Source organism: Homo sapiens, chromosome 18 (genome assembly GCF_000001405.40).
Source record: "Homo sapiens chromosome 18, GRCh38.p14 Primary Assembly".
NCBI lineage: Eukaryota > Metazoa > Chordata > Mammalia > Primates > Hominidae > Homo > Homo sapiens.
The window spans coordinates 58240250-58265195 of record NC_000018.10 but is presented as its reverse complement, the minus strand read 5'-3'; the positions used below and the strand labels follow the sequence as shown (position 1 = coordinate 58265195).

The 24946-nt window shown below is 41.3% G+C and overlaps 1 protein-coding gene across 50 annotated transcripts in view, besides 1 other annotated feature; it reads right to left on the bottom strand.

Moving 5' to 3' along the window:
* NEDD4L (NEDD4 like E3 ubiquitin protein ligase) overlaps positions 1-24946 on the bottom strand; it is a 357315-nt gene that overhangs the window by 136345 nt on the left and 196024 nt on the right. For 42 of the 50 annotated variants that reach the window (XM_006722426.5, XM_047437406.1, XM_047437407.1 and 39 more), the window contains 3 exons: positions 19688-19769; positions 16259-16297; positions 13142-13195 (listed from right to left, as the gene is read on the bottom strand). In XM_006722426.5, the coding sequence (XP_006722489.1) occupies positions 13142-13195; positions 16259-16297; positions 19688-19769 (175 nt within the window). Of the gene's footprint in view, positions 1-8421; positions 9681-13141; positions 13196-16258; positions 16298-19687; positions 19770-24946 lie in introns of those variants that run through there. The other 8 variants (XM_005266658.5, XM_006722421.5, XM_005266663.5 and 5 more) reach the window with 1 other exon arrangement.
* Positions 17135-17640: an enhancer, noted in NCBI's record as "H3K27ac-H3K4me1 hESC enhancer chr18:55914788-55915293 (GRCh37/hg19 assembly coordinates)". NCBI's record gives its function as "activates a minimal SCP1, AML or CMV promoter by ChIP-STARR-seq in primed H9 embryonic stem cells {active_cell/tissue: H9 hESC(primed)}" and the evidence as "EXISTENCE:reporter gene assay evidence [ECO:0000049][PMID:30033119]".

The window sequence follows — 24946 nt, the reverse complement described above, 5'->3', positions numbered from 1 at the left end:
TCTACCTTCAGTCTTTCAATGAGGCCCCTCCCACTGGCCCACTGAGACAAATCTGGTCACTTTTCAGCATCTAGTTCCAGTCTTGCCCCTCCATGACACAGTTCCTGTCCCTCCCAGCCTGTGCATAAGCAATCTGTCACCCAATGCCTTGCTTAGTGCCTGCTATCAGGAGTAAGGCTTCTTCTGCTAGGCAGGCCTCACCTCAGCTGTCCCATCTGTTTGTGAAACTGAAAGCTCTATAAACCAAGCTCCCTAAGTATTTATATGTCCAACGTCAAGAAGGATAGGGCTTCACGTGCAGTGATTATTCAAAAATAATTATTTCATACTCAAGAGAGAAAAAGAATATTCTCTATTACTGCAAAAGTAAAGCTCTCAGGGTTGGTAAATGGGTACGAAAATACGGTCAGATGAAGGAGTAAGTTCTAGTGTTCAACAGCACAGTAGTCCATGTCCTCAGCACGACAGTTAATAAGAAGTTACTATACATTTCAAAACAGCCAGAAGACAAGATTTGGGATGTTCTTAACACACAGATGCCACAAATGTCTGCAGTGACAGATATTTCAAATATTTCAGTATGTAATGATTTGATCATTACACACTGTATGCATGTTAACAAGATATCACATGTACCCCCATAAACAGGTACAAGATATCACATGTACCCCCATAAACAGGTACAACTATTATGTATCAATTTTTAAAAAGGAAAGTTCTCACTTTCCTCATCTTTAAAATTAAAGGAACTGGCCAGCATAATTTCCAAGGCAACTCACAGCTCTGCAAATCTGTGAATCTAACATTTAAAAATGACCCCTGCATACATTAGCTGGAGAAAAATGCCATACTGCAGAATGCAGGAGCTTCTCTTGCTAATATAATTTCAACCGAGGGTGCAAGCAGGCCGGAGGCACACTGTGTCCTTAGCATTGCTGTGTCCTTAGCCTTGGCATTTGGGCACCTAATAATGCGTGCTAATGTGTATAACATCGTTTCTGGATTTTATAAAAGCAGATAATTACCGTAGTAAGAAGTTAGCAAAAAAGATAATTACTGTAGTAAGAGGTTAATTCAACTTAAATATTCAAACTAAATTAAAATATTTAAAGTTTTATTACAACTTAATATCTCTTTTATTCAAGTGGAAAAGCATAATCAGTAAGGTCCTATGGAACAGATACTATGCTTAAGGCATTTTAACTCATGAGGAAGACCATATAAAAGAAGCCCAGAGGTATGCTGATAGTTTCCAGTGTTCAACTGTGACTAATTCCTTACAAAGTTTAAGAGTCCATGTTAGTTCTGCAATGTAACTCCTAGCCAGAAGACCTCCTGGATTTGAAGAAGTGCTGGATTGTTTGGTTGGAGCTTAATATACATTATTACATTTCAGTATTGCTGGTTCCACCCCACCTTTTCTATTCAACTCAATTTTTAAAATCTGGACCAAAACAGTTGTTTTCCTTCATGAGGTAACTACCTAGCCATGCATTTGAAAAGAACATGAGAGAGAGAAAAAAAAAAAAAAAAAAGCCTAAGAAGTAGGATTTATTATCACGCTTGAAAATGTCAAGGAAATGGATGAGTTATGACATGTGTGAGTCATTAAATGTATTTTAAAAGTCTACCAGCTCTCGAATGACCAATAGAAGAAAGAGAAACTAAATCTATCAGAAACGATTTGAATTTCAAAGTATTTAACATGCTTAATAACAACCCCAGCCCATCTAACCCCCAAGAAAGAAGTAAGCAAGATAATGAGTGATGATGTGGGTTGCAAGTAGGCTCCTCAAAGTTATTATACAGGGAAGTAAAAGTCACTTGACTCACTGTGATCTACAAAAATTAAGTCACAAAAGAAGGCTGTGTAAACTCTAGGAACCTGTGAAAAGCTGATCTGCCTGGGGGAAATTCCAGTCTCTTGCTACCTGGAGGAATTTACTCTGCTCTGCTTACTGGATACGTGGCATAATGCTTAACATTAAAACAAACACTGAATGGTTTCCAGAAATAGGGAGGTTGTGCAGGCACTTAAGGGAACCAATACAAAGTTTCCGAATACTAAAGTGTAGCAACGAGTCAAATCAGAGATAGGAGGGCCCCCTTCCAGCTCAATTATGATCCGTCCTTTTATTTGATTTCATGACCTGTCCCTTCACAGAGATTTAATCACTGTACTCAAAAGTGTCAGAACAGTCCACAGTTCTAAAATTGTCAGGGCATAAAAAACAGGCTTCTTGAAATACAATTGATTCCATCCTCCATCCTGAAAGAAACTAAGCTTCCTGTCAAAACATGGTGATGCCTAGAGACCAGGAAAGTGCCCGTTTAGGACATGGCATGAAACCAGCCAGGACATCAGGGGCTAACTTTCAGGCCCACTCACATCAGGCCACCTGTCTCACTGAGTTACTCATTTATTCTCCTCTGTATCCTAGTTGGCCCAAGGAAGCCACAGCAGAATAATCAAGAGATTCCAAAGGAGAACTCCAGTGAGAACATTATGCATTCAACATGCTCACTGAGAGAAGATTATTTCTTTTCCTTTTTTTTTTTTTTTTCCTGAGACAGAGTTTCACTCTGTCGCCCAGGCTGGAGTGCAGTGGCACGATCTCAGCTCACTGCAACCTCCGCCTCCCGGGTTCAAGAGATCCTCCCACCTCAGCCTCTCAAGAAGCTGGGACTACAGACAGAGGCCACCACGCCTGGCTAGCTTTTGTATTTTTTGTAGAGATGAGGCTTCGCCATGTTGCTCAGGCTGGTCTCGAAGTCCTGGGCTCAAGGGATCTACCTGCCTCAGCCTCTGGAAGTGCTGGGATTACAGACATGAGCCTCCGTGCCCAGCCAGCATTTCTTAAAAACATTTTATCACAAATAGAGACAGAAGTCCAGGGCCTGGCACTGGAATGTGGTGAACGAAGATTATTTCTAAAAATCTTTCAATAATCTCCACCTGCCCAGAAATGTATAGACATTCTGCAATACCTGCTTTTGCTAATATTTAACACATTCCGTCCTTTGGCCTTCTTAATTTTTTATTCAGAGTGGGGCATACGCAGCAGGTGAAGGCTGTTTTGGTGCTCTCCTTTGTGCAGGACATGGAATATCATGCTGCTTGGTATGAACTAAGAGAACTAGAAGGTTGCAGACAGGATGATAACCTGTCCGAATAATCACCAGCCAACTCTGAGGTGGGTTTCCAAAGTTTCCTTTGACATTTACAGAGGAAATGTAGACATTCTGGTACCTTTGTGTAGAATCAGCAATTTCAACACCACCTATGAATTTCCTGCTTTTTCCCATTCTTGCAAATGGCTTAATATAATTAAGAGTTAAAAAGGTAAAAACGTATTTAGGATAGCTAACCTGTATCGCCCACAGTAATATGCAGGTAATTATTTTTATTAAAAAATGTGCTAGATCATTGACAGTTGCACAAGTAGCATTACCATTTAGATTCGCCTCAACTATACAGAAATATTCATCAACTATCCAGAAACCATTCAACTATCCAACATTTATTACATTTTAAGGTAGTTTTTACATAAAGTAAATTTATTCTGGTACTGTGAACTTTTATGAAAAGATAGCAAGTTTCTTATCAGTATGTATTATAAAATTAGAGATTTATTTCAATGACTAGGAATTCTGCCACCAGGCTTAGCCAAGAGAAGCAGCTGCACCATTTATGAAAACTCTCTAAAAGACAGTATCTTAAAATAAGACATATTCCCAAATATCTCCCTCATTTTAAAGTCATACAATGTGGAAATTTTGTAGATATAACACTATATTGTTTCTCAAAAGCCTCAGTCTATACCAAAGTAACAGTAGACTCAACCACTGGAAATATTACAGCAAAATGACATGGTAAAAAATATGCTAGAAATGCAAGCCAAAATGTTATAAGGCTTCAAAATCAACACAGTAAATATACTTACGAGTCCTTTTCTATAATGCATAGTTCAGGAAGCAATTCTTTTCCAAGACTGTATTTGGTGTTAGGGACAAATACTTAGGAAAGATGAGATGACAACAGAAAGAGCATCAAAGCTATTTATTAAACATTTCCAGGTATGCCATAAATGCATGTTGTCCTTGTGTTAAATGCCATACTGATCAAAAAATGGTTGTTCACAATTAACCTAATTAACCTGCTAGGGGAAAGACTTGTATATTACAGATACCTGGTTCACGAATCAGGTACTTCCATGGACACTTTCATTTAAACCTAACTATGAACCTACGAGCTGGACATTTTTATCCTCAAATTTACTGATGAGGAATAGGCTTAGAGAGGGAGTCTAAGTACTCCAGGACCAAAAGCTAGTGAACTGCAGAGGACGGCTCTTTGGATCCCCAAAGAAGCCTTCTCTCACCTTCAGGCCAGTGCTGCAAGACACCAAATGAAGTTACCACCTCTAAACTTTTCAAAAAAACTGTCACATCACAGGAAGCATTAAACTGCTTTTTGGCTTAACATATACTTTTTAATTGTGCAAATATACACACACACATAAATACACATTCCCATTATAGGTGCACAAAGTGGTATCATAGTATACACTATGATATACACATAATGTTATTACACCTAACAACGGTATCACATCCTTTCATCTGAAACAGTGAAATAACACCATTTCACATGGGAGGGTCAAGTGAGATAATGCCTCCACAATGGGACAGCCATACATATTAAGTGAAATAAACAAAGCATTCTTCAAATTGTGAAGTGCTACAGAAACATGAGCTATGCTGCAAGCCATGTACAGTTTCTGTTTACAAACATATCGGTGTCAACCTTGTGCACTGCCTATCCAACTTTTCAAAACATCCCTGAAAACAGGTGACATTTGAAGATATATATTGGTTTATTCTAAGACCACATTAAGAGAGAGCATTACTATACATGAGAGAAGAAAGAAAGTTGATTGAATCCAGTCAGAAACCAGGTCAATGAAAAGAATGCTACTTGTTTTTCTTCTCCATTACAATATTAAGTTTTATTTTTATTTTTTTGAGACAAAGTCTCGTTCTGCTGCCCAGGCTGTAGAGCAGTGGTAGAAACAGTAATCTCAAACTACTGGGCTCAAGCAATCCTCCCACCTTCGCCTCCTGTGTTGTTATGTTTTAAAATAAAGGGGTGGTTAATACATTGGATACTCGAGTTATTTTTAGGGTAAAAAACAGACATCGACTAATATTAATGTCAAAAAATGGCCGTATATTAAAAACATCTTCTGTAAAAGAGACTCAAAGTTTCCCCAAATGAAAAGAATTTGGATATTCCTTTGTTGTTCAATAAAAGTAATTTTTAATCACAAGAGATTACTACACTACTCCTGTGAAGTACATGTCCACTGAGAGGACACAGAGGAAAGTCCAGAGAGCTTGAGCTGAAAGAACGCTCTCTTCTCCAATAGCATATGCAGTAGGTGTTAGAATTACTGCTTTTGTCCGGGTGGGCCCTCCTCCCTCCGTTTACATTACAAACTGTGTCAGCAAGACACTGAGATAGTCCCTGAAACTTTCCAAGTAACGGGTGTAATGTTATATACACAGTAGACCTTGAGTACTTCATAACACCAATGAGATTAGAAAACTGGCTCCTCAAGCTTGTAAAATGCAGAGTTTCACAGTTATTATGCACAAAATGGCATACAAAGGGGGCACAAATGCTGGTAAATGGTGGTCCAACTTCCTCAGAATAACTCTAATGCAGTTAAGAGGCTCAGAACCCAATAACCCAAAAGCTAATTTATAAGAAAATAACTAAATTACTCACTAAATGACTACTAATGACTGCCACAGACTGAATTGGTAAATTCTAACAATTCTGAAAATTTTTAACTGATTATAATTGATGACTATACGAATGAATTCTTGTCTACTGACAGTGATAAACCAGGTGGAAAACTTATCATCACAAGGGTTTCCCCTGTATTTTTTCTAATAATTTAGTTGGTTAACATTTTTTGGAGTCATGTTACATTTTAGATTTAGTCATGGCAGGATGTTTGGGAGGCACAGATAAAAGTACTCAACAACTTAATCTTGTAATAAGGTCTAAAGTATAGCTTATGAAATATGAGCACGTTGTCAAATGAATCCCGAGCGGTATTCCCAAATCTAGGAAGACTTTCCGTATCATTCCACCACCAAACTGCAACAGATTCTAGCTAATTTTTCATGTAAACTTAATAATGTAATGTCCTTTAGACCAAAGCAGTGGATATTTGAAACGCCAAAAAAGCTTGGTAGCAGCCAGACTGTAGACGCCCAAGTGAATGTTTTCCTTCAAGATAAGTAAGGCGGTGGCAGCTGCTGCCTAAACTTAACACCCCTGTCCATATGAAATGCATACAAAGTTGCTGAATGGAGCAGGCGGTTTTGTTATGTGACCACTTTTGGTTTTGTTTTTTAAAGAAAAATCGTTTTGCTTAAAAGAAAACCAGCTTACTAACCACGTACTAATTTATGTATGTGTACAAAAATACATACATATGAAAATGCAAACTACTGTTCACTAGTTGGAACTTACTCTCCAAGAAAAGCTCTTTATTCCAGAATTTATATTCTCCAAATGTGTAGAAACTTGTTTTTCACTACATAGGCCTTGCAAGTTAGAATAGCCCTTTTAAGCAAGGTACACATAAGTTTTAGTTTATTCGATTTGTTTTCTAATTACATTTGAAAGTTCAAACCAAATGAGTTTGAACTTTTTTGAGTTTAATTGTATGAATCCCTTTGTCTTCCACATCAGAACTGCAAAGTGATTTCAGTTTTTGGTAATATAATTGAATAGTTATCAAACTTTAGGAAATATATTTTTGTCAATCTTCATGCGGTAAGTGGTCCAAGTTCAGCATGGAATTGTGTTGCCGAACAAAGCCTACAACTGTCATGATGGTAATTTGTTGGGGGTGGGCGTTAAAGGCTACTATAATATCAAAACACTGTCAAAATTTGTACCATTGTGTAATACATGGTATAGGTTCAGACCAAGACAAAGCACTTAGCCATTTCCCAATAGAAGAGTTTGAGATAATGAAAGAAAGGAGATACATGGAAGGAAAGAGAAGAAGAAAAATAAATTTTCATTAAGCATCTGATTGTATCTTCAAAATGATGAAAACCAATGATGGAGGAGTGATAAAGTTTACTTGAAAGACGAAACTTATTTCTGAACACAAAGCAATAAAAGACAATACAATTCTAGAGTAATACTCAGACGCTCACTTTTCAAAATCACAATTCATAAGTGAAATCCAAAGAAAAGTCCCCTAGACATTTACTAATCATATCCTCAAACTGGCAGTCACATGAAATTCAGGAGAAAAAATATCCAATTCAAAATATAAGGAGCTTGTTCTTTAGGAGAAAGCACTCACTGGCTAGTGATTACTAGTAAAAGAAACCAAACTGATTAAACTTTTCATTCCACTCTAAACCACGAAAGCTGCAGAGTCATCATATGCCTGGTCGATGGAGCGTGCAGCTGTCTCTCTGTACTCCATTTCACTGAAAGGGAGCGATCAGGAACAGAGAAACAGGAAGGCCAGAATCTGTTCTAAGGCGTCTATTTCTCCACAGCTGGAGACAGGGTACTTACTATTCTATATACAGCATCCTCGGCTTGGACACTCAAGTGTGCAGTGTTAAATTGCACGCCACGCCATCTGACCATTAACGAGTCCCCATCAGTTTCCCCTAGCCTTGGGCCATAACCCAATGTGCTTTAAAAACGCATCTGTTAGTATCTTAGCAGTGTCACTTGTGGGATAGTAATGTCACTATCCCACAAGCGACACTACTCTCGTTCAGTATTACTTAATGGGACAAAAAACAAAGCAAATTATATAACAACGACTGACCTGACCTCCTGCAGCAAACAGGCCATGACAGATAATCAAATTCCACTAAACTTTACGTTCACCTATTTTAACTATTAAGAGACGAAACTGAGGTCCTTTGCAATATCCTCCCCTTTCCGAGAACTGATTATTTTTAAAGTATTGTCACAGGCTATACTTGCAAGCAGCTTTTTAAATGCAATTCCAACATCAGCACGTTGGGGCACTGACTTGTTTTTTGGCAGATTAAAGTAACAAATTTTATTCGAAATTCTTCTATTCAGAAAAATAAAAGCAGGGGGAAGGTATTCTGCTTGGATTTCCCAAACAGACAAAGTTCTTTGACTTTGAGGACCTACAGAAGACATTTGCAGAAATGGTGTTTTGCGCACCAAACACTGGACCACAAATCATCGTGCCAGAACTCGGCCAAACATTCAGATCCACTGGCCTGAAGCAGGGAAACTCCCGGAACAGAGGGTGAGGTTTTATTTTGGTTACGCCGCAGAGTAAGCATCGAAGTTGAAATCAGTAAACACATGTAAACACGCTGTGAACTTACCGTGGTGTCAGCTCCCGTGGAAACAGGGCTTTTGGCGCTTTTCTCCTCGGGATTCTGGGGAGCTTCTTCCGGCCCCCGGGTTACAAGAATTCTAAAATGCTGCTGCCCCGCGTTCTGATCCTGCCTGATCTTAAATGTGCACCCCTGGCCCTGCGGAGTCCTCTCCGCGGAGTTCGTCCTGCGGATTTCAGGAGCCATCCTGCCAGCTCGAGGCGATGCCTCCAGGGCTCCCCGATCTTCCGTGGGGCTCCCTCGCTCGCTTCGGGGCTGCGTGGGGTACGAGGTGCTCCTCTCCAGCCGAATGCGAGGATACCTCACCAACCTGTCCCCCTTTGTGCCCGTGAAGCCAAAGTTGAGGTCGCTGCCTGGCCCCGAAGCGCCTTGTTGGGGCTGCTGCAACTGGAAGACAAAACACCGCTTCCCAGAGCTTCCAGAAGCATCTGGAACGTGCTGCAGGGACCAGCGCCTGGGCTCTGCCGCGGCCGGGCCGCCCTGGCCATCGGGGCCCAGGGGCAGCAGCCTCACCTGGCGCACGTCGGCGCTGGAGGCGCGGTGCTGGATGCGCAGGCCCGGGGCAGCCTCCTCCGCGCAGTCCACGGGGCCGGAGCACCGCACGCGGCGGCCGCACGTGCCGTTGACCTGGAGCCCTGGGTCCCGGGCTGCCCTCGGAGGGGAGCTCCCGGGGGTGTCCCTCGGCGAGGGCTCCCGGGAGCCACTCTGGGGCGAGGCCCTCGTGGTGGCAGTGGCGGAGGCCTGGTCCCTGGGGTCGGGCGTTGCGCATGGAGGCCCATCGTCGGCGCCCTCGGGCGGCCCGCACCCGTCCGTGGCCCCGTCCGTGGCCTTGCGCTGCAGGGAGATCTGCACGGAGGAGCTGCACGTGGGGCGGGCGTCGATGCTGGTCAAGAGCTGCGGGATGAACATGGACGAGCTCCGCTTAAGCGCACCCACGCCTCCCTGCAGGCCTCCGCCGCCGTCCTCCCCTCCGTTCTGGGCGAAGGGGTGCGGGCTGCTTCTCCGCGGTAGGGTGTGGAATGCCATGAAGAAGTCGTCTTCTCTCTCCTGGTCTAGGATGTCTGATTCGGGGGCTGTGTTGCTGCGACCAGAGCCAAAATGAAACCGAAGCCGATGGGCCATGGTGACCAGGGGGGCCAGGAGGGCTAGGGCAAGCGGCAACAACAGGCCCGACACTGCCAGAAGTCACAAACCAAAGACACAAATTCCAAGAAAAAGTGTCCCATCTGCCAAACTGTTAGCACTGCGGCACCGGGAGCGACAGATAGCAGAAATAACCCAAGTGGCAAGCGGCATTCCAGGCATGATTGGATAAGAGCAAAAAGCTCTCATCCACACTGTGACAGAGGGTAGGGTGGCCAGAACCACATGACCGCGCTCTCCCCCTCCAATGCCAGCTTCTGGACTTAGAGGAGTTTTCCCCTACTCGCTCTTTTTTTTTTTTTTTAAACAGCAAGAGCCTGAAACAGCACCTTCCCAGCTGCTGCTTTTCCATCAGAAAGGAGTGGCCCCAGCAGGGCGCTCTCACAGCTGACTAAGGCAGCAAACACACTGCAAGCCACGCTGCTATAAATCTAAACCACATCACATTCGCAGGGCACTTCTTTCCCAACGGAGCACAGCACTGAGACTCTGTCTAACCAGTGCAGGGACCTGGCATGTTTAACAGCACACACGGTATTTTCCCACCTTCCGCCACACGGAATAATGACAAGTAAAATATGGCTTGGCCACCGGGTAAACCCCTTCCCAAGCATCGGATACCATGTTTCTGTTATTTATGACATCACTACACTACCAGGATGGAATGCAAACTAATAAAACAGTACTATAAATACGATTACACACCCTACAGAGTTAGTGTCCGTTTAATGCTAAATAATTAGAGCAGGATCTACAAGTAACAAAATAGCTAAGTGGAGGGGAGGGGGCCCGACTTGCTACACAACCAGTTAGCCAAGCAGAGCCCTCCTGCTATCACAGCATTTTTCATTTAAAAGGTGTATACGTGTGTGTAGCTCACATATGACTGGCAGACACCAAAGTGTCTCCTTTTCAAAGAGAAAATGAACCCAGCTGGAGAAAACATTGTCTTCCATATGTCAGGTAGGAAAGAAAACATCAACCAAAAAACAAACAAACAACAAAAAACAAAAGGAAAATTGAAGAAGGGAGTGCATGTGGGCTTTTTTTTTTTTTTTTGGTAATAATTTAACTTAAATACCACACAGAAGAAATGCTACCTAGAGCTGACTGTTTTCCAGTAAGAAGTCAGCAATATTACCACAGTTGGGACACAAATATGGAATCTTACTATGTTTGCAAAGGACCAAAAAGGACCTAAGAAATAAAAGGAAAAGTGCACACTCAAAAAACTGTCATCAGATTTGTAGTTAGCTTGGAAATATTCTGTATTTTAAACTTACTATTTTCTATGATCCAGAAACATCAATTATTTAACAAAGAGGTTTATTTAGAGGAGGTAAAAAAAATAGGAGGGGAAAATACCAAGCTGTAAGAGTAACAAAAAGTTTATTTTAAAATCTGCAAAGCATGACTTTGTCAACAGCTCTAGCATCCAGAGTGTGGTGGATTAACCCTGTGTTTACATACATCCAAATCTGTTTTCTAAAAGTATGTGTTTTAAATGCCAAAAATGACCTCTATGAGAGAAATGGAAGCTAGTCTGTGTAATGCTAGAACTTCCAAGTACTACCATAGCCACATATTGTCTCCGCTGGGTTAATAGCCAACAAAGAAAAAAAAAAAAACAGCAACACCAGCATTCTTTGCATAGTAACCACACTGCAGATGGCCTGGGGCAAAACTAGGCATCAATATTATAAAACACAATTTTTCAGATATAGCTTGTATTCATACAAGATTTCTTAAAAGTTTTGTATTCAAAGTCCTTTTTGGTTTGGAAGTATGATTTCAGACCCAGGGCAAGATCACCTCAACTACAGTCATTATTTCAGATACGGAAATGGGAAACAATTTTTTAACAGTGAATTTCTCTTAATAGAAGAGAATAATGAACTAAAACACATCAAACAAGAGGCCATTTTTCCTCAAATTTGACCCTTTCCTCATGTTAAACAAGAGATATTATACTCAATAATTGGAGAATAAGGATTAGTCTACAGACACACCCATGTCTCCAGGAACGTACTGTTATACTACTCAATACTGCTTAACTCACTTGGTCCTCACTGGATGAGAGATGGAGAGACAAGAACTGCACCCTCAGCAGAATCTCTCATCCAATTTCACAAGAAAGTACTTTGATGCATACAACAAAAGTGGTTTAGTTACACTGTACGACTGTTCATCACCCAACATCCCATACTTTAATGGAAAAGATACTAGGATGGTAGGCCAAAATCTGTTAGTTTTCTCTTTTGGAGAATAATACTAATCATATGAGATTCAATACATTCCCAAACTATCACTGGGCTGGGACTTAGGAGGCCAGCAGGTCAGACCCTGGCACCTCCACTGACTGATGTGTTTATGTAAAGGCTCTAGACCTGGTTCTTCTCATCGACAACAACAGGAGTTAAATGAGTTATTGTATAAGGCTCCTCCAATTCAAATATTCTATTAACGTCCAGCTATTAAAAATCTGGAGTTTCAATTGAATACTGCAGAAAGGATTCTTAAGAACACCTTTTAACCAGTCAACATACCATACAAGTTTCAGAGAGGGTAAATTTGAGAATGACTGCACTGAATTATAGTGTCACTTCTGAAGGTACCTTAAGGACTTAACATGATAGTGTTCATTTTCATAGTTGGAACACCTGGTTCACAGCTACTTGATGTACACGTTTTAGATAGTTAAGAAAGCAAAATGTGCTTCAAAAATTCCATTTCTAAAATGAAATCTGGCCAGGCATGGTGGCTCATGCCTGTAGTCCTAGCTATCCTGGAGTCCTGCTTGAGCCCAAGGGTTTGAGGTTACAGTGAGCTACGACTGCACCACTGCACTCCAACCTGGGTGACAGAGGGAGACCCTCTCTCTAAAAAAAATTAAAAACAATAAAATGAAATCATAATTATTTCAGTTATGTATGTGTCGATCTTCATAAACATATTATATATACATCAATCTATATATAAAATGTTAGTTTGTATCTGTTATATGCCTCAGGCATATCTTTGTTTCTTTAAAGGTACTTTCTAAGGTTCTCTCTTAAGAAGGCAACCACTTTTAAAATACGGCTTGACTTTACCTGCTAAATGTAGATTCACTTTTTGCTATACGTTGTTAATTAGATTGTTATTTTCCCTGAGAGAATTACCATAGATTTGCTACTGAATGCATCCCAGTACTATGGTCTGGCTTTCATTTAAAAACCGAGCAAAGTTTGTTTACATTCCTGATGGCCTCTTTAGAGATCTGCCTACCGTTCTGTATTCCCAACATTAGAGCATGAGCATATGGGCTGGTACTATCACCAGTGGCTTTCGTTAACATTAACTGCAATAAAAATACACACACATACAAATACATTTTTTATCCTAGCAACATAAAACTATTTGTTAGGATTTTGAACATCAAACTCGTAGTGGGACAAAAACAGTCTTCTTTTTGGGCACATATACTGTCCTAAGTACAACATAAACACAGAGTTTTAAAGACGCTGCTCTGAAAATCCAGTTAATAAAAAAATGAAGCAAAATTCAAATACAGGCATCCACTTACCAGTCTATTTTCGTCAAATACTTCAAATAGGAGTCTGTGATTAGATGGGTTTACCTATAAGGAACATAAATAGTATTTTTTAAACGAGCAGGAATCATTTGAACAGCGACGTAAGGAACAGAAAGAATAACATACTGCTTTACAATGCGCCCAACTCAATTGTATAATATGAACAATTATCCTGCTGTTCTGGGAATTCTATGTGTACTAAATCAAATTTCCTATTACTGATTTCTATATTATTCTGCCCCAAATTTAGGCATAGCAAAAGAAGAGAAGGCTCTTAGCTGTTTTTCTAAAATAAGAAAGGATAGTTGTAAATAGCTTTGACGGGTTCCTAACCTCTGTACAAGGCATTCTCATGACTGTAGATCAAAAAATGTCTATGCCTGAGGATATTTCTTAGTCCTGATAGCAGTAATAGTAATGATAAAAATAATGAAGAAGATTGTAATAGCTTAAGAATGTATCTGTGTGTGTGTGTGTGTAGAGAGAGACACACACACACACATACACACAAACACACAGACAGACAGACAGAGACAGACGGTCTTGTTCTGTTGCCCAGGCTGGACTGCAGTGGCATGATCATGGCTCACTGCAGCCTCAACCTCCCAGGCTCAATTGATCCTCCTGCCTCACTCTCCTGAGTAGCTTGGACTACCATGCCTGGCTAATTTTTGTATTTTTTTGTAGAGATGAGGTTTCACCATGTTCCCCAGGCTGGTTTTGAACTCCTGGGCTCAAGCTATCTGCATGCCTTGGCCTCTCAAAGTGCTGGGATTACAGGCATGAGCCACTGTGCCCAGCCTGTGCACTTACTTTTTAGGCACTGTCTTGTTATTAAATATCAACAACCCATGATCTCCTTTAATCTTCACAGCAATCCTATGATGTATAACTATCACGCAATTTTATAAATGAGGAGCCGAGACCCTGAGGTTCAGTGAAGTAACTTGCCCAAGAGCCCACAGCTAATGTGTAGGGCAACCAGGACCTGCACTAGGTCTATGCTGCCTGTCTCCAGAGCCTAGACTGTGAACCATGAGAGAGACCTGGAACTGTGAGGCAATGACAGAGCTACTGGGCTTTCCATATCTTTTTGCTTCCTTTTCCTTACCAAAACCTCACCAAAATGGCCCATATCATCTTCCAAACTCAGGTATCATTTACTAAGCACCAACCACATGTGTGACATAGAGCTACATGTTCTCATTTACATCATCGCATGCAAATCCTTGAAACAACCCTTGCAGGTAAGGATTCTCTCTCCTATGTGAGAGATAAGGATCCCAGGGAGATTGAGAGTCCTCAGGTGGCCTTTCCAGGGTCACAAAGGCTCTAAATGGTAAAGCAGAGAGGTGACCTAGGCCCTGGCTGCTTCATGGTGGGGAATGCATGAAATAACACTTGACCATACAAGCACAGAGAGCTCAGCTTGTGCTTCTGGTCCGTGGTCTGCCTGCAGCCTAGCGACAGAACAAGCAGATGGGGTTTGCTATCTGTTTAGAAGCTCTATGAAGGGTCACACTGCTTACCAATGCAACCACAGGCTACAGGCAGGAGCTGGCACATAATAGGCACTCAATAAAGATTTGTAAAATGAATAAATATAAAGACCTTAAGAACCTGTAATCCCAGAACTTTGGGAGGCCAAGGCGGGCAGATCACGAGGTCAGGAGAGTGAGACCAGCCTGGCCAACATGGTGAAACCTCATCTCTACTAAAAATACAAAAATTAGCCAGGCGTGGTGGTACGGGCCTATAGTCCCAGCTACTCAGGAGGTTGAGGCAGGAGAATCACTTGAACCTGGGAGGCAGAGGTTGCAGTGAGCTAAGATTGTGCCACTGCACTCCAGCCTGGTGACAGAGTGAGACTCCATCTCAAAAAACAAAACAAAACAAAACAAACAAACAAAAAAAACCTTCAGAAAAACTAACAAAAATAGAACTTAAATGTGCCTACTGCCAAGATTAGCTGAAAAAAGTATGGGATGTACTAACATTTATGTAACTGTGCCAGTGTTCCACTGAAAGGAGTCTAAACACTTTGGAGGTTCACAAGTGGAAAGCTATATTTCAGAGTTAACTAAAGGCCAACAGCATCTATCAGCTCCTATTAGCTTTTCAGTCCTCCACAGGGTAATTTCAAATACATCTGGTGGAGGCTGTACATAGGATTTCACCAAGTATGAAAGTATCAGTGCCATATTTCAGCTCTGAGCATAATGGAAAGCAGATGCTGTATGTAGTAGCCCAAGTTTGGAGCACAAAAAATACTATTGCGATTGAGAGGAAGAAATCAGGACCAATTATAATGGGCCTCATGGCAATACTGGCCTTTGGAAATCTGCACTAATCAGAAGACCTGGATTATTTCTGGAGGTAAGCAGTTTTTAATATCACAGCTATACAATTAAGATACCTTCGTTTTGAAGAGAAAGTCCTTTCTTTCAATTAAATAGCTAAGCAGTCTAATAGTTCCAAAATGTCAGTAGTAAAACACAGCAACAACCACAAATGCTCAATAAGCAGAAATCTCTGCTAATTCACATATTTCAGTCATTTCGACATATAGCTATTCTAAATATTAAATATAAAAGGTTGAGGAAATCTTACCTAATTCTGTTGTATTTAGATTCCAGAAGTAATTTTATATTATACACATATATATGCACTCAAGTGTTTCAGTTACCAAAATTTTCCTCCCTAACTAGAATATAACTGGTAATTTTTATGTTTCTTTTTAATCATGTTGCCTCTACTGTTTTACTCTCTCTAAAATATTTCATAACCCGTCTCATAGAATTAAACCATTCTCATAAATGATATTTTATCTTATTTCTTAAAGAAAGGTTTGAATTCAAAAGATGAAACATGGTGTTTGGATAATTTTCTTTTGACTTCTCCAAAACACTCCCCAATGAAACAAGTCCGGATTCTGTGACCACTACTTCTAGTCTTTCAAAATTTGGGACACATTAGGAGGCTACCTATTTTTCATCCTAAAAGGAATTTCTCATTAAAAATTTAAGAGCTTTTCCTCAAGATGAATTGACTGTGATAATCGACCTAGACGTATCAATAACAATTATTACCAAACAATGAAAAACTTACCCTGAAATAAAATTCTTCATTCCATTTTGGGTTCAGTGTCTGGAAGAGAAATTATCTTGTAGTATCTTTTAGTCTTTCAAACATTAGCAGTTACTAGTACAATACAGTCTACATATTTGCTTAAACATTTTTTTGATTAAAAAAAGCTAAGAGAAGCATTTAGTCGATTATTTGAGACTAGCGTACAAACCAAACTGGAGGGGGAGGGAATGTATTTATGAAACAGATGCTTCATAGGTATGAAACCTTAAACTGCTTCTATCACCAGAAGGAAAAACATCAAAGGCCTGGAAAGAGTCATCGTGAAAATATAAAAAATTTCTTCAAGAAATTAGCATTGATATGATTATTCTACCAAGAAGGAAATGAACTTTGTTGACTTCCCTCTCCCTGCTACAAATCTGTTTTGCAGAGTAACGAAGCAGGTGGGGGAAAGTTGAATGTGTTCATTGTTTATATAAATATTGAAATCTTAACATTTTATAGAGAGCTATACTGAGGATCAGATTTTATAACAAGAAAAAAAAAGACCAAATGTAAGCCAAAAGTGAATTATTTTTTTCTCCAAAAATAACCAGGTTAAAAAATACTTGTCTACTTATCCTTCAGTCTTCCTCTCCATTCATCCATCTGTTCATCTTTCTATCAGTCTACTTAAATGTACATCTCACAAGGAGATGGCAAGGATACCTTTGTCCTCAGCATGGAAGAAAGGACTGCCAGATATCCCCCAAAACTAAGAGGAAGCATGTTCTAGGAAGGAAGACTGTACATGTGTGTTCATGCATCTGCACATGCATAAGCCTCTTAAAGACAGCTCTTAAAAATTGTATGTAAAAAAAAACCATCACTTCACCAACAGCGATAGATATTTTTAGTCAAAATGATATTTATCAATCTATTTCCTTTAATAGATCAGTTCAGGGAGATGAAAAAAATCAACAGAGTGCAACATAAAAATAGGAAACACAGAGCTCACACAACACTGAACCGGCGTTTTCAAAAATTCAGCACTTTCCCCACCCACAACTCCACAGTGAATTCAATCCTAAATAATGGGGTTCATACTTTTCTCCCATGTGAATGAAGCCAAGGATGGTAATGAACGAGGGGAGGGGAGTGGAGCAGCAGGCCTGGCCTGCCTCTGGCTGCAGTCCCGGAGGGCAGCTTCACGGAAATGCACATGGGAAATGACAGGCGAGGAAAGCAACAAGACAGGAGAGCACAAAACGAACGAAGAACCAGTCACAACACGGCAAGGAGAGGAGGATGACGGCAGTTCTCGCACCCGAACGCAGCAGAGGCATACGAACCAGGAGGCGGGCAGCAGGAGAAGGAGGGCAAACCCAGCTACAGAGCTACTCCCTCGACCGTGGAAAGGGAGGGAGAAGGAGGACCTCCCTTTGGAAGGAAATCCATTGCAATAGCCCCAGTCGCCGGCTTTGGTCCTGGCTCCACATCCAGCAGGCAACCAAGTTTCCCAGCTGCCTTCCTGGTGAGCCTTCTAGACAGCCCCCACTCGCCTAGAAACTGAACCAGCAACAACGCCTAACACAGGGAACAATGGCCTCCGTCCCTCGCAGGCATCCTCCCTGCTAATCAAAAGACTGGCTCCTGTTTGCAAAACAGATTTTTAATGCCAGTCCCAATGCCAAGTGGAGGACACGCTGCAGTTACGGTTCCTTACACAAAAGGACCTGGCTGCATCCTGGGTGCCTGCATGGCAGCAAGACAGTTACAATTTTTTAAAGCACTCATGCTGTCCAGAAAATGTTCAGCAAAGTGTTAGACTATCTAAGCACCCGCCTCTAAAGGAGGTAAGGAAAAAAATCATAGTAACCCATAAATGATACTAAAGCACAGATGAAAGGGGTTTGTTTTGTTTTTTGGGTTTTTTTTGAGACAGGTTCTCATTCTGTCACCCAGGCTGGAGTGCAGTGGCATCATTATGGCTCACTGCAACCTCAATCTCCCGGGCTCAATTGATCTGCCAGCCTCGGCCTCCAAAGTGCTAGAATTACAGCCATGAGCCACCACATGCAGCCAAGTATTTTTAATAGAGAACATGCATCTTCAATAAAGCCTCCAAACATAGGGTAAAAAATATTTACATATATATATATTACATATGTCTATAAATACATGGAGATAGGCAAATTAAGACATACTTATTGGCTAGGCACAGTGGCTCACATCTGTATTCCCAGCACTTTGGGAGGCTAAGGCGGGTGGATCACCTGAGGTCAGCAGTTCCAGACCAGCCTGGTCAACATGGCAAAATCCCACGTCTACTAAAAATACAATAATTAGCTGGGCATAGTGGTGCACACTTGTAATCTCAGCTACTCAGGAAGCTGAGGCAGGAGAATCACTTGAACCCAGGAGGCAAAGGTTGCGGTGAGCTGAGATTATGCCACTGCACTCCAGCTTGGGTGGACAGAGTGACACTCCATCTCAAACTAAATAAATAAATAACTAAAAGACATACTTATGGAAACAAATTTTTAATGAAATCATGTACATAAAAATTAGGAAAATAAGATATATACATACATGTATAGCTTTATTATTAATATATTTTCTCTATTTCCATGTAGCTAACCAAGTATTTTGCTTCCTTTAGAAATAGTTGTTTCAAGTTAAACTATTCCTGGTGTGCCTACCAATTCCACAAACAGCTCCATTTCATTAAATGTATTTTAAATTACTTTAAGTTTCTTTGTGAAACATACAAAGACAAAAACAAATCCTTGTTTTTGCTGTATTCTGTGCAAGAAAAAATGTTACAACTTATGACATTTTCAGGATACTGTTTTTGTAGGCATTTAAGTAAAAACCTGAATCACTATCTTGGGTTAGTACTGAAAAGTCTTGGAAAACTTCTAGATTTAATACTGAAAGACACTTAAAATGAAAATACAGTATATAAGACAAAAAGTGGGCTGGGCACGGTGGCTCACACCTGTAATCCCAGCACTTTGGGAGTCCACGACAGGTGGATCACCTGAGGTCAGGAGTTCAAGGCCAGTCTGGCCAACATGGTGAAACCCTGTCTCTACTAAAAATACAAAAAAAAAAAAAAAAAAAAAAATAGCCAGGCATGGTGACAGGTGCCTGTAATCCCTGCTATTCAGGAGGCTGAGGCAGGAGAATCACTTGAACCCAGGAGGCGGAGGGTGCAGTGAGCTGAGAACATGCCATTGCACTCCAGCCTGGGCGACAGAGTGAGACTCCATCTCAAAAAAAAAAAAAAAAAAAAAAAAGAGAAAAAGTGATGCACTTGTATATGGCAGCTCCATTATAATCTCACGGGACTATCACTGTGTAAGTAGTCCATCCTTGACCAAAAAGGTGTTAAGCAGCACATGACTGTGCATAATTGGATTAAATTATGACTTAAATGACATTTGGTTAAAGATCGACACCTACCTTTTTAATTGTTTTTGTCTGGACCAAAGCAAGTTCTCTATTCTCATCCGCTACGTACAATGAAAGTTTCACATACGGATCACTGTAAGAAAATATTTTAGATTTAATAGGATTATACTTTTCATTCAAAAGAGAAAACAGTGGAACCTAAATGAAAATACAAATATCAGTTAAAGTCTCAGCTTGTATTATTTCCACAAACTAAGCAATAACCTTTTTAACATATCTACTAAGTCAATACACTTGGAGTAAAGTTCCTATCAAAACCAGTGCCAATAATGTTTACTTAGAAGCTAAAAATATATATAATTTTAAAGACAGAGTCTGAAAAGATTACAAGAAAGATTAAAACGCACACAGATTTTGTTCAGACTTTACAAAATTTAGCTAGAAAATTTGGTTTAGGTCTTATCCATATTCTTATTTCTAGCGTCTAGGTAATTAGTGGAGGTAAAAGAGCCATTGTTCATGTGACCCAACACCTACCATTTTACAGATTAAAAACCAAATCAAGGCTGGGCGAGGTGGCTCACACCTGTAATCCCAGCACTTTCAGAGGCAGAGGCAGGTGGATCACCTGAGGTCAGGAGTTCAAGACCAGCCTGGCCAACCTGGTGAAACCCTGTCTCTACTAAAAATACAAAAATCAGCTGGGCATGGTGGCAGGTGCCTGTAATCCCAGCTACTCAGGAGGCTGAGGCAGAAGAATCGCTTGAACCTGAGAGACAGAGGTTGCGGTGAGCCAAGATCACACTACTGCACTCCAGCCTGGGCTACAGAGCAAGACTCTGTCTCAACACCCTCCCCCCAAAAAAAAGACAAAAACAAAAACATAAAAAAACAAATCAAAACAAAACCCTAGAAAACTAAAGCCTAGAAAGTCAAGAGAGATTTGCCTAAAGTTATAAATTTGAGTAGTCTAGATTAAAGTTCAGGTTTCTCGACTACAAGTCCCAGAATTCCTTGTACACATCACATTATCTTTAATCATTATTTCCTTGGGAAAGGAACTTTTAGCAAGATGTATATTTCAAAGGATTACTGCGGACTATCTACTAAGAGGTTAAGTCTAGTCACACTTTCAAGTATTGCTAGCCCTGGGGTAGCTCAAATCTAATCAAAATATCACTTTGCAAGAATTTAGGGTATAGAAGAATTTATTTTGCTTCATACTTGAGATCCTGAAAATCATAAAAAGGGCTCTCATGTATTCAATCTCTAAATTCTCACTTATCTAGTTATGTATAGCCAAAAACTGATTGCTATCAGTTCATCAGATTAACTTTATGTAATTTCAGAACTGCCCGTTAGTGGCTATACTATGACTATTAACCCTTATTTTGCAATGTCTAAGATATTTCCAAAGATTACATCAAGTATCTTAAAATGCTGAGACTGTACTGATTTCTATTTGATATTTCAAATAATAAATATGCCATGAAATCCTTTCACAAGGAAGTATGATAAAAGTTTGGTAGTAACAAGGCTATACTCAATATCTAAAAAATCAAAAGTCTGAAAAATATTGTTAGTACACATATGTGTGTTCACGTGTGTATTTATTACCCATAAGATGTATCTGAATGGAAGCTACAAAACATATCCTAAAAAAATTAGCAACATGATTTGTTCAGTTATACTCCATTATGAGTAAATATTTTTTATTTTTTTTTTACATTATGGTTTGGAAGGTATTAGTTAATCTTGCCTCTTTTCTGTAAGCTGTAAACCTTTATTTGGTTAAATAACATCTAAGCGGATGCACCTACTTCTCCTTCTATGGACACCCTCAGCCTTAGAAAAAGATGGATCAAGAGCCGGCACCTAGCCCAGGTCAAAGCTCCCATAAGCACCTTCCTAATGGGTGCCCATGGGCTGGCAGATGAATCAGGCGTCACTTTCCAGGGGAGTGAGGCTCAGGCTTTAGCATATCAGATTCACCTGGGGGAGGGGGTGATTAAAACACAGATAACTGGGCCCCGCTCCCAAATCTGAATTCAATCCGGGGTAGAACCCAAGAATCTGCATTCCTAACACATTCCCAGTGATACCAAGGCTCCTGATCCAGGAACCACACTCAGAGAACTACTGTTCTAGATGGCATTTGAAAAGAGTATTTTCTAGCTACAGAAACTAAATTTTCAATTTCCAGCCACAATCTATTGCTTATAAAAGAGCTCAAGGCCTGATGATCATGTTACCTCCAGATAATGTGCCGTGGAGATGCATGCAGAACACACGTGCACACACACGCACATACAGAATCCACAGTTATAAAGAATACCATAAACTCTGTTGCTCTCATTTTTATGCCCCTCAGCTATCATGATTGCCGGCTATTATATAACTGCAATAAAGAGCTAAGCATTTCCTGTAATAGAACATCCACATTCTTCCACTGGTGGTTCATTTACCTCAGTCTGTATCCCTTGAATAGCTCACAATAATCGACACATGCAGCTGGGGACTGTGGGTGGGATACTTAGGTGTGGGACACCATATCTTCCAGCAGTAATAAAGAAGTCAGGTGGGAATATGTAACATCTTGAGTGCTCATCCAGGTAGGTACTAAGGTATGATCAACTCTATGGAAGATCGATTAGGAAACTCCCTGAAAGAGAGTTCAGCCTGAAGAGAGAACCAAAGGCCAACATCTTGGAGCTGGCTACAGGACAGTAGGATGTAAGCTCGAGGGGAGGAGAGGGTTAGGCGCAGTGGCTCACGCCTGTAGTCCCAACCATTTGGGAGGCTGAGGCAGGCAGATCGCTTGAGCCCGGGGGTTCAAGACCAGCCTGGGCAACATGGCGAAACCCCATCTCTACAAAAAAATACAAAAAAAATGTAGCTGCGTGTGGTGGCATGCACCTGTAGTCACAGCCACCACAGAGGTTGAGGTGGGAGGACTGCTTGAGCCTGGGAGGTGGAGGCTGCAGCGAACCGAGATTGTGCCACTGCACTCCAGGATGGGCGACAGAGTGAGACCCGGACAGAGTGAGACCCTGTCTCATTCATTCATTCATAAATAAGAAGAGGGGGAGAACGGGTGCCCAGATTGCTCTCAGGCTCCTCCTCCCTTTCAGCTGGTACTTAACCACTCTTAACTTCAGCCTGCTCATGAATGAAATGGGAATGACAATTCCTAACTCAGGCAGTTTTTGCAAAGACCAGAGAAAATCATGTATTAATACTAGTACCCAGCACCATTCCAAACATACAATACAAATGCCCCATAAATGACAGCCAAGGTAACTGTTCTTTGCTTCCTCTCTTAGGAGACGTGTGAGGTTCTCTGTTGCTCCTTTTGACTCCCAACTCCTGCTACAATGACTGATTTGACACTGATTACCTCACAGTACACACTGGGTGCTGGCCAACTGCAGCATGCTACGTATTCCACGCCTCCTCATTATTCATACAGTGTGGAGGTCCCACGGGATCTGGGTAGAGATGATCAAACTGGGACTCTTACTCACAATGAAGCTCATCAGAATTCACTCTTGGCATCAAGTTACCGTTCTAGTGGCTGCTGCTGATACAACTCAGGGCTAGCATGAATATGACTCTCTAGGAAGCTCAATGCTACGCAAGAACATGTAGATTAAAAGGCAAATTCTATTTTGCAAACTTTTTGTTTTCTCTGCTTAGTGAAGCTGCTTAGACATCACATTCTACCTTTCAGTCTTTCCAAGGAGATAGTAAACTGGTACTAGGATTCAAGCAACCTTCTATTTCCTGAGTGCCTACTATATGCCAAGAAAAGAGACAGGTTCCAGAAACAAAAGACACTGTCCCTATCCAGTTGAAATGGAACATAGAGAAATGAAAACATGATTGTGACAGAGTGTGCCAAGCACCCAGGAAAAAAGCAGTCAGCAGCAGTGGTCCCTGACTTCCCGTGCAAATCTGGGTACCTGGCCCCACCCCAGACCTGCTAGTCAGAATCACTAGGAGTCTACATTTATTGAGTGTCTCATGTGATTTCTATGCACTGGTCCATCCAGATACCACTGCCAGATGGAGTCTGAAGGCACACATAGAACCGGGAGGCATGAGGTGGAAAGATCACAGGCAGAGCTCCAGTGATAGGCTGGAGCTGGGGTTCAGAACATTAAAAAGTCTGGCATGGCTGCAGTCAGGAGGGCTCAGGGAGAAAAGACAGATGGAGAGGGAGCCCAGGCTCAAACCACAAGGAGTCGGCCATTCCTGCAGAGCTCAAACCCTGGGTCTTCATCAATTAGTACATGACTTTGGGAAACTTACATAGCCTCTCTGTGCCTCAGTTTTACCATCTATGTAATGGGTATAATAGTAGCACTTCCCTTATAAAAAGCCTGTTAGAAGACAAATTATAATAGTGCTTGGCAGGAGTATAGTGAGCACTTAATAAATGTTAGCTGCTGGCTGGGTGTGGAGGCAGGCGCCTGTAATCTCAGCACTTTGGAAGGCCGGGGTGGGCAGATCACTTGAGGTCAGGAATTCCGGACCAGCCTGGACAACATGGTAAAATCTCGTCTCTACTAAAAATACAAAAATTAGCTGGGTGTGGTGGTGTGCATCTGTAGTCCCAGCTACTCGGGGAGCTGAGGCATGAGAATCACTTGAATCCAGGAGGGGGAGGTTGCAGTGAGCCAAGATTGCACCACTGCACCTGGGTGACAGAGAATCTGTCTCTAAATACATACATACATACATAAATGTTAGCTGCCGCCATCATCCTCCTCATCGTGGAGTTGTCTAAATACAGAAAAATCATGATCATATTCATTAGAAGGAGATAAGACAGCAGGCAGTGGGACCCAACGGAAGGCCTCCGCGCCAAAGAATAAGAAAGCTCTGAATGCAGAGGTGGCAAAAATCAGAAAGGACTGACTACTCATCCAAAGGTGGACTCAAAAGAACAGGGTGGCCAACTGAATGTAGCAGGTAGGTGGGTCAGGAGGAGAGGGAATCCATGCCAACTCCAGGTCTCAGGCCTCTTGACAAATTGTGCCATTACACACGGGGCCCTAGAATCTTCTGCTCCATGTTCATAATGATGCATTTGTGTGTAAGTGTGCAAGGGCCTACCAAATAATGATGGCCTGAACTGTCTGTCCTCAGGGATCCTAATGATTTAGTGCCACTCCAACAAGAAGTTCGAGCATTGAGCCTGGCCTCCAAATCCACGTCAAGGTTGGGCAGACACCAAAATGCACCCTGAAGGATCTCAGGTTCCTCAGTATTTTTCACTGAGTAAACAAAATCCAAAAGAAAAACCAC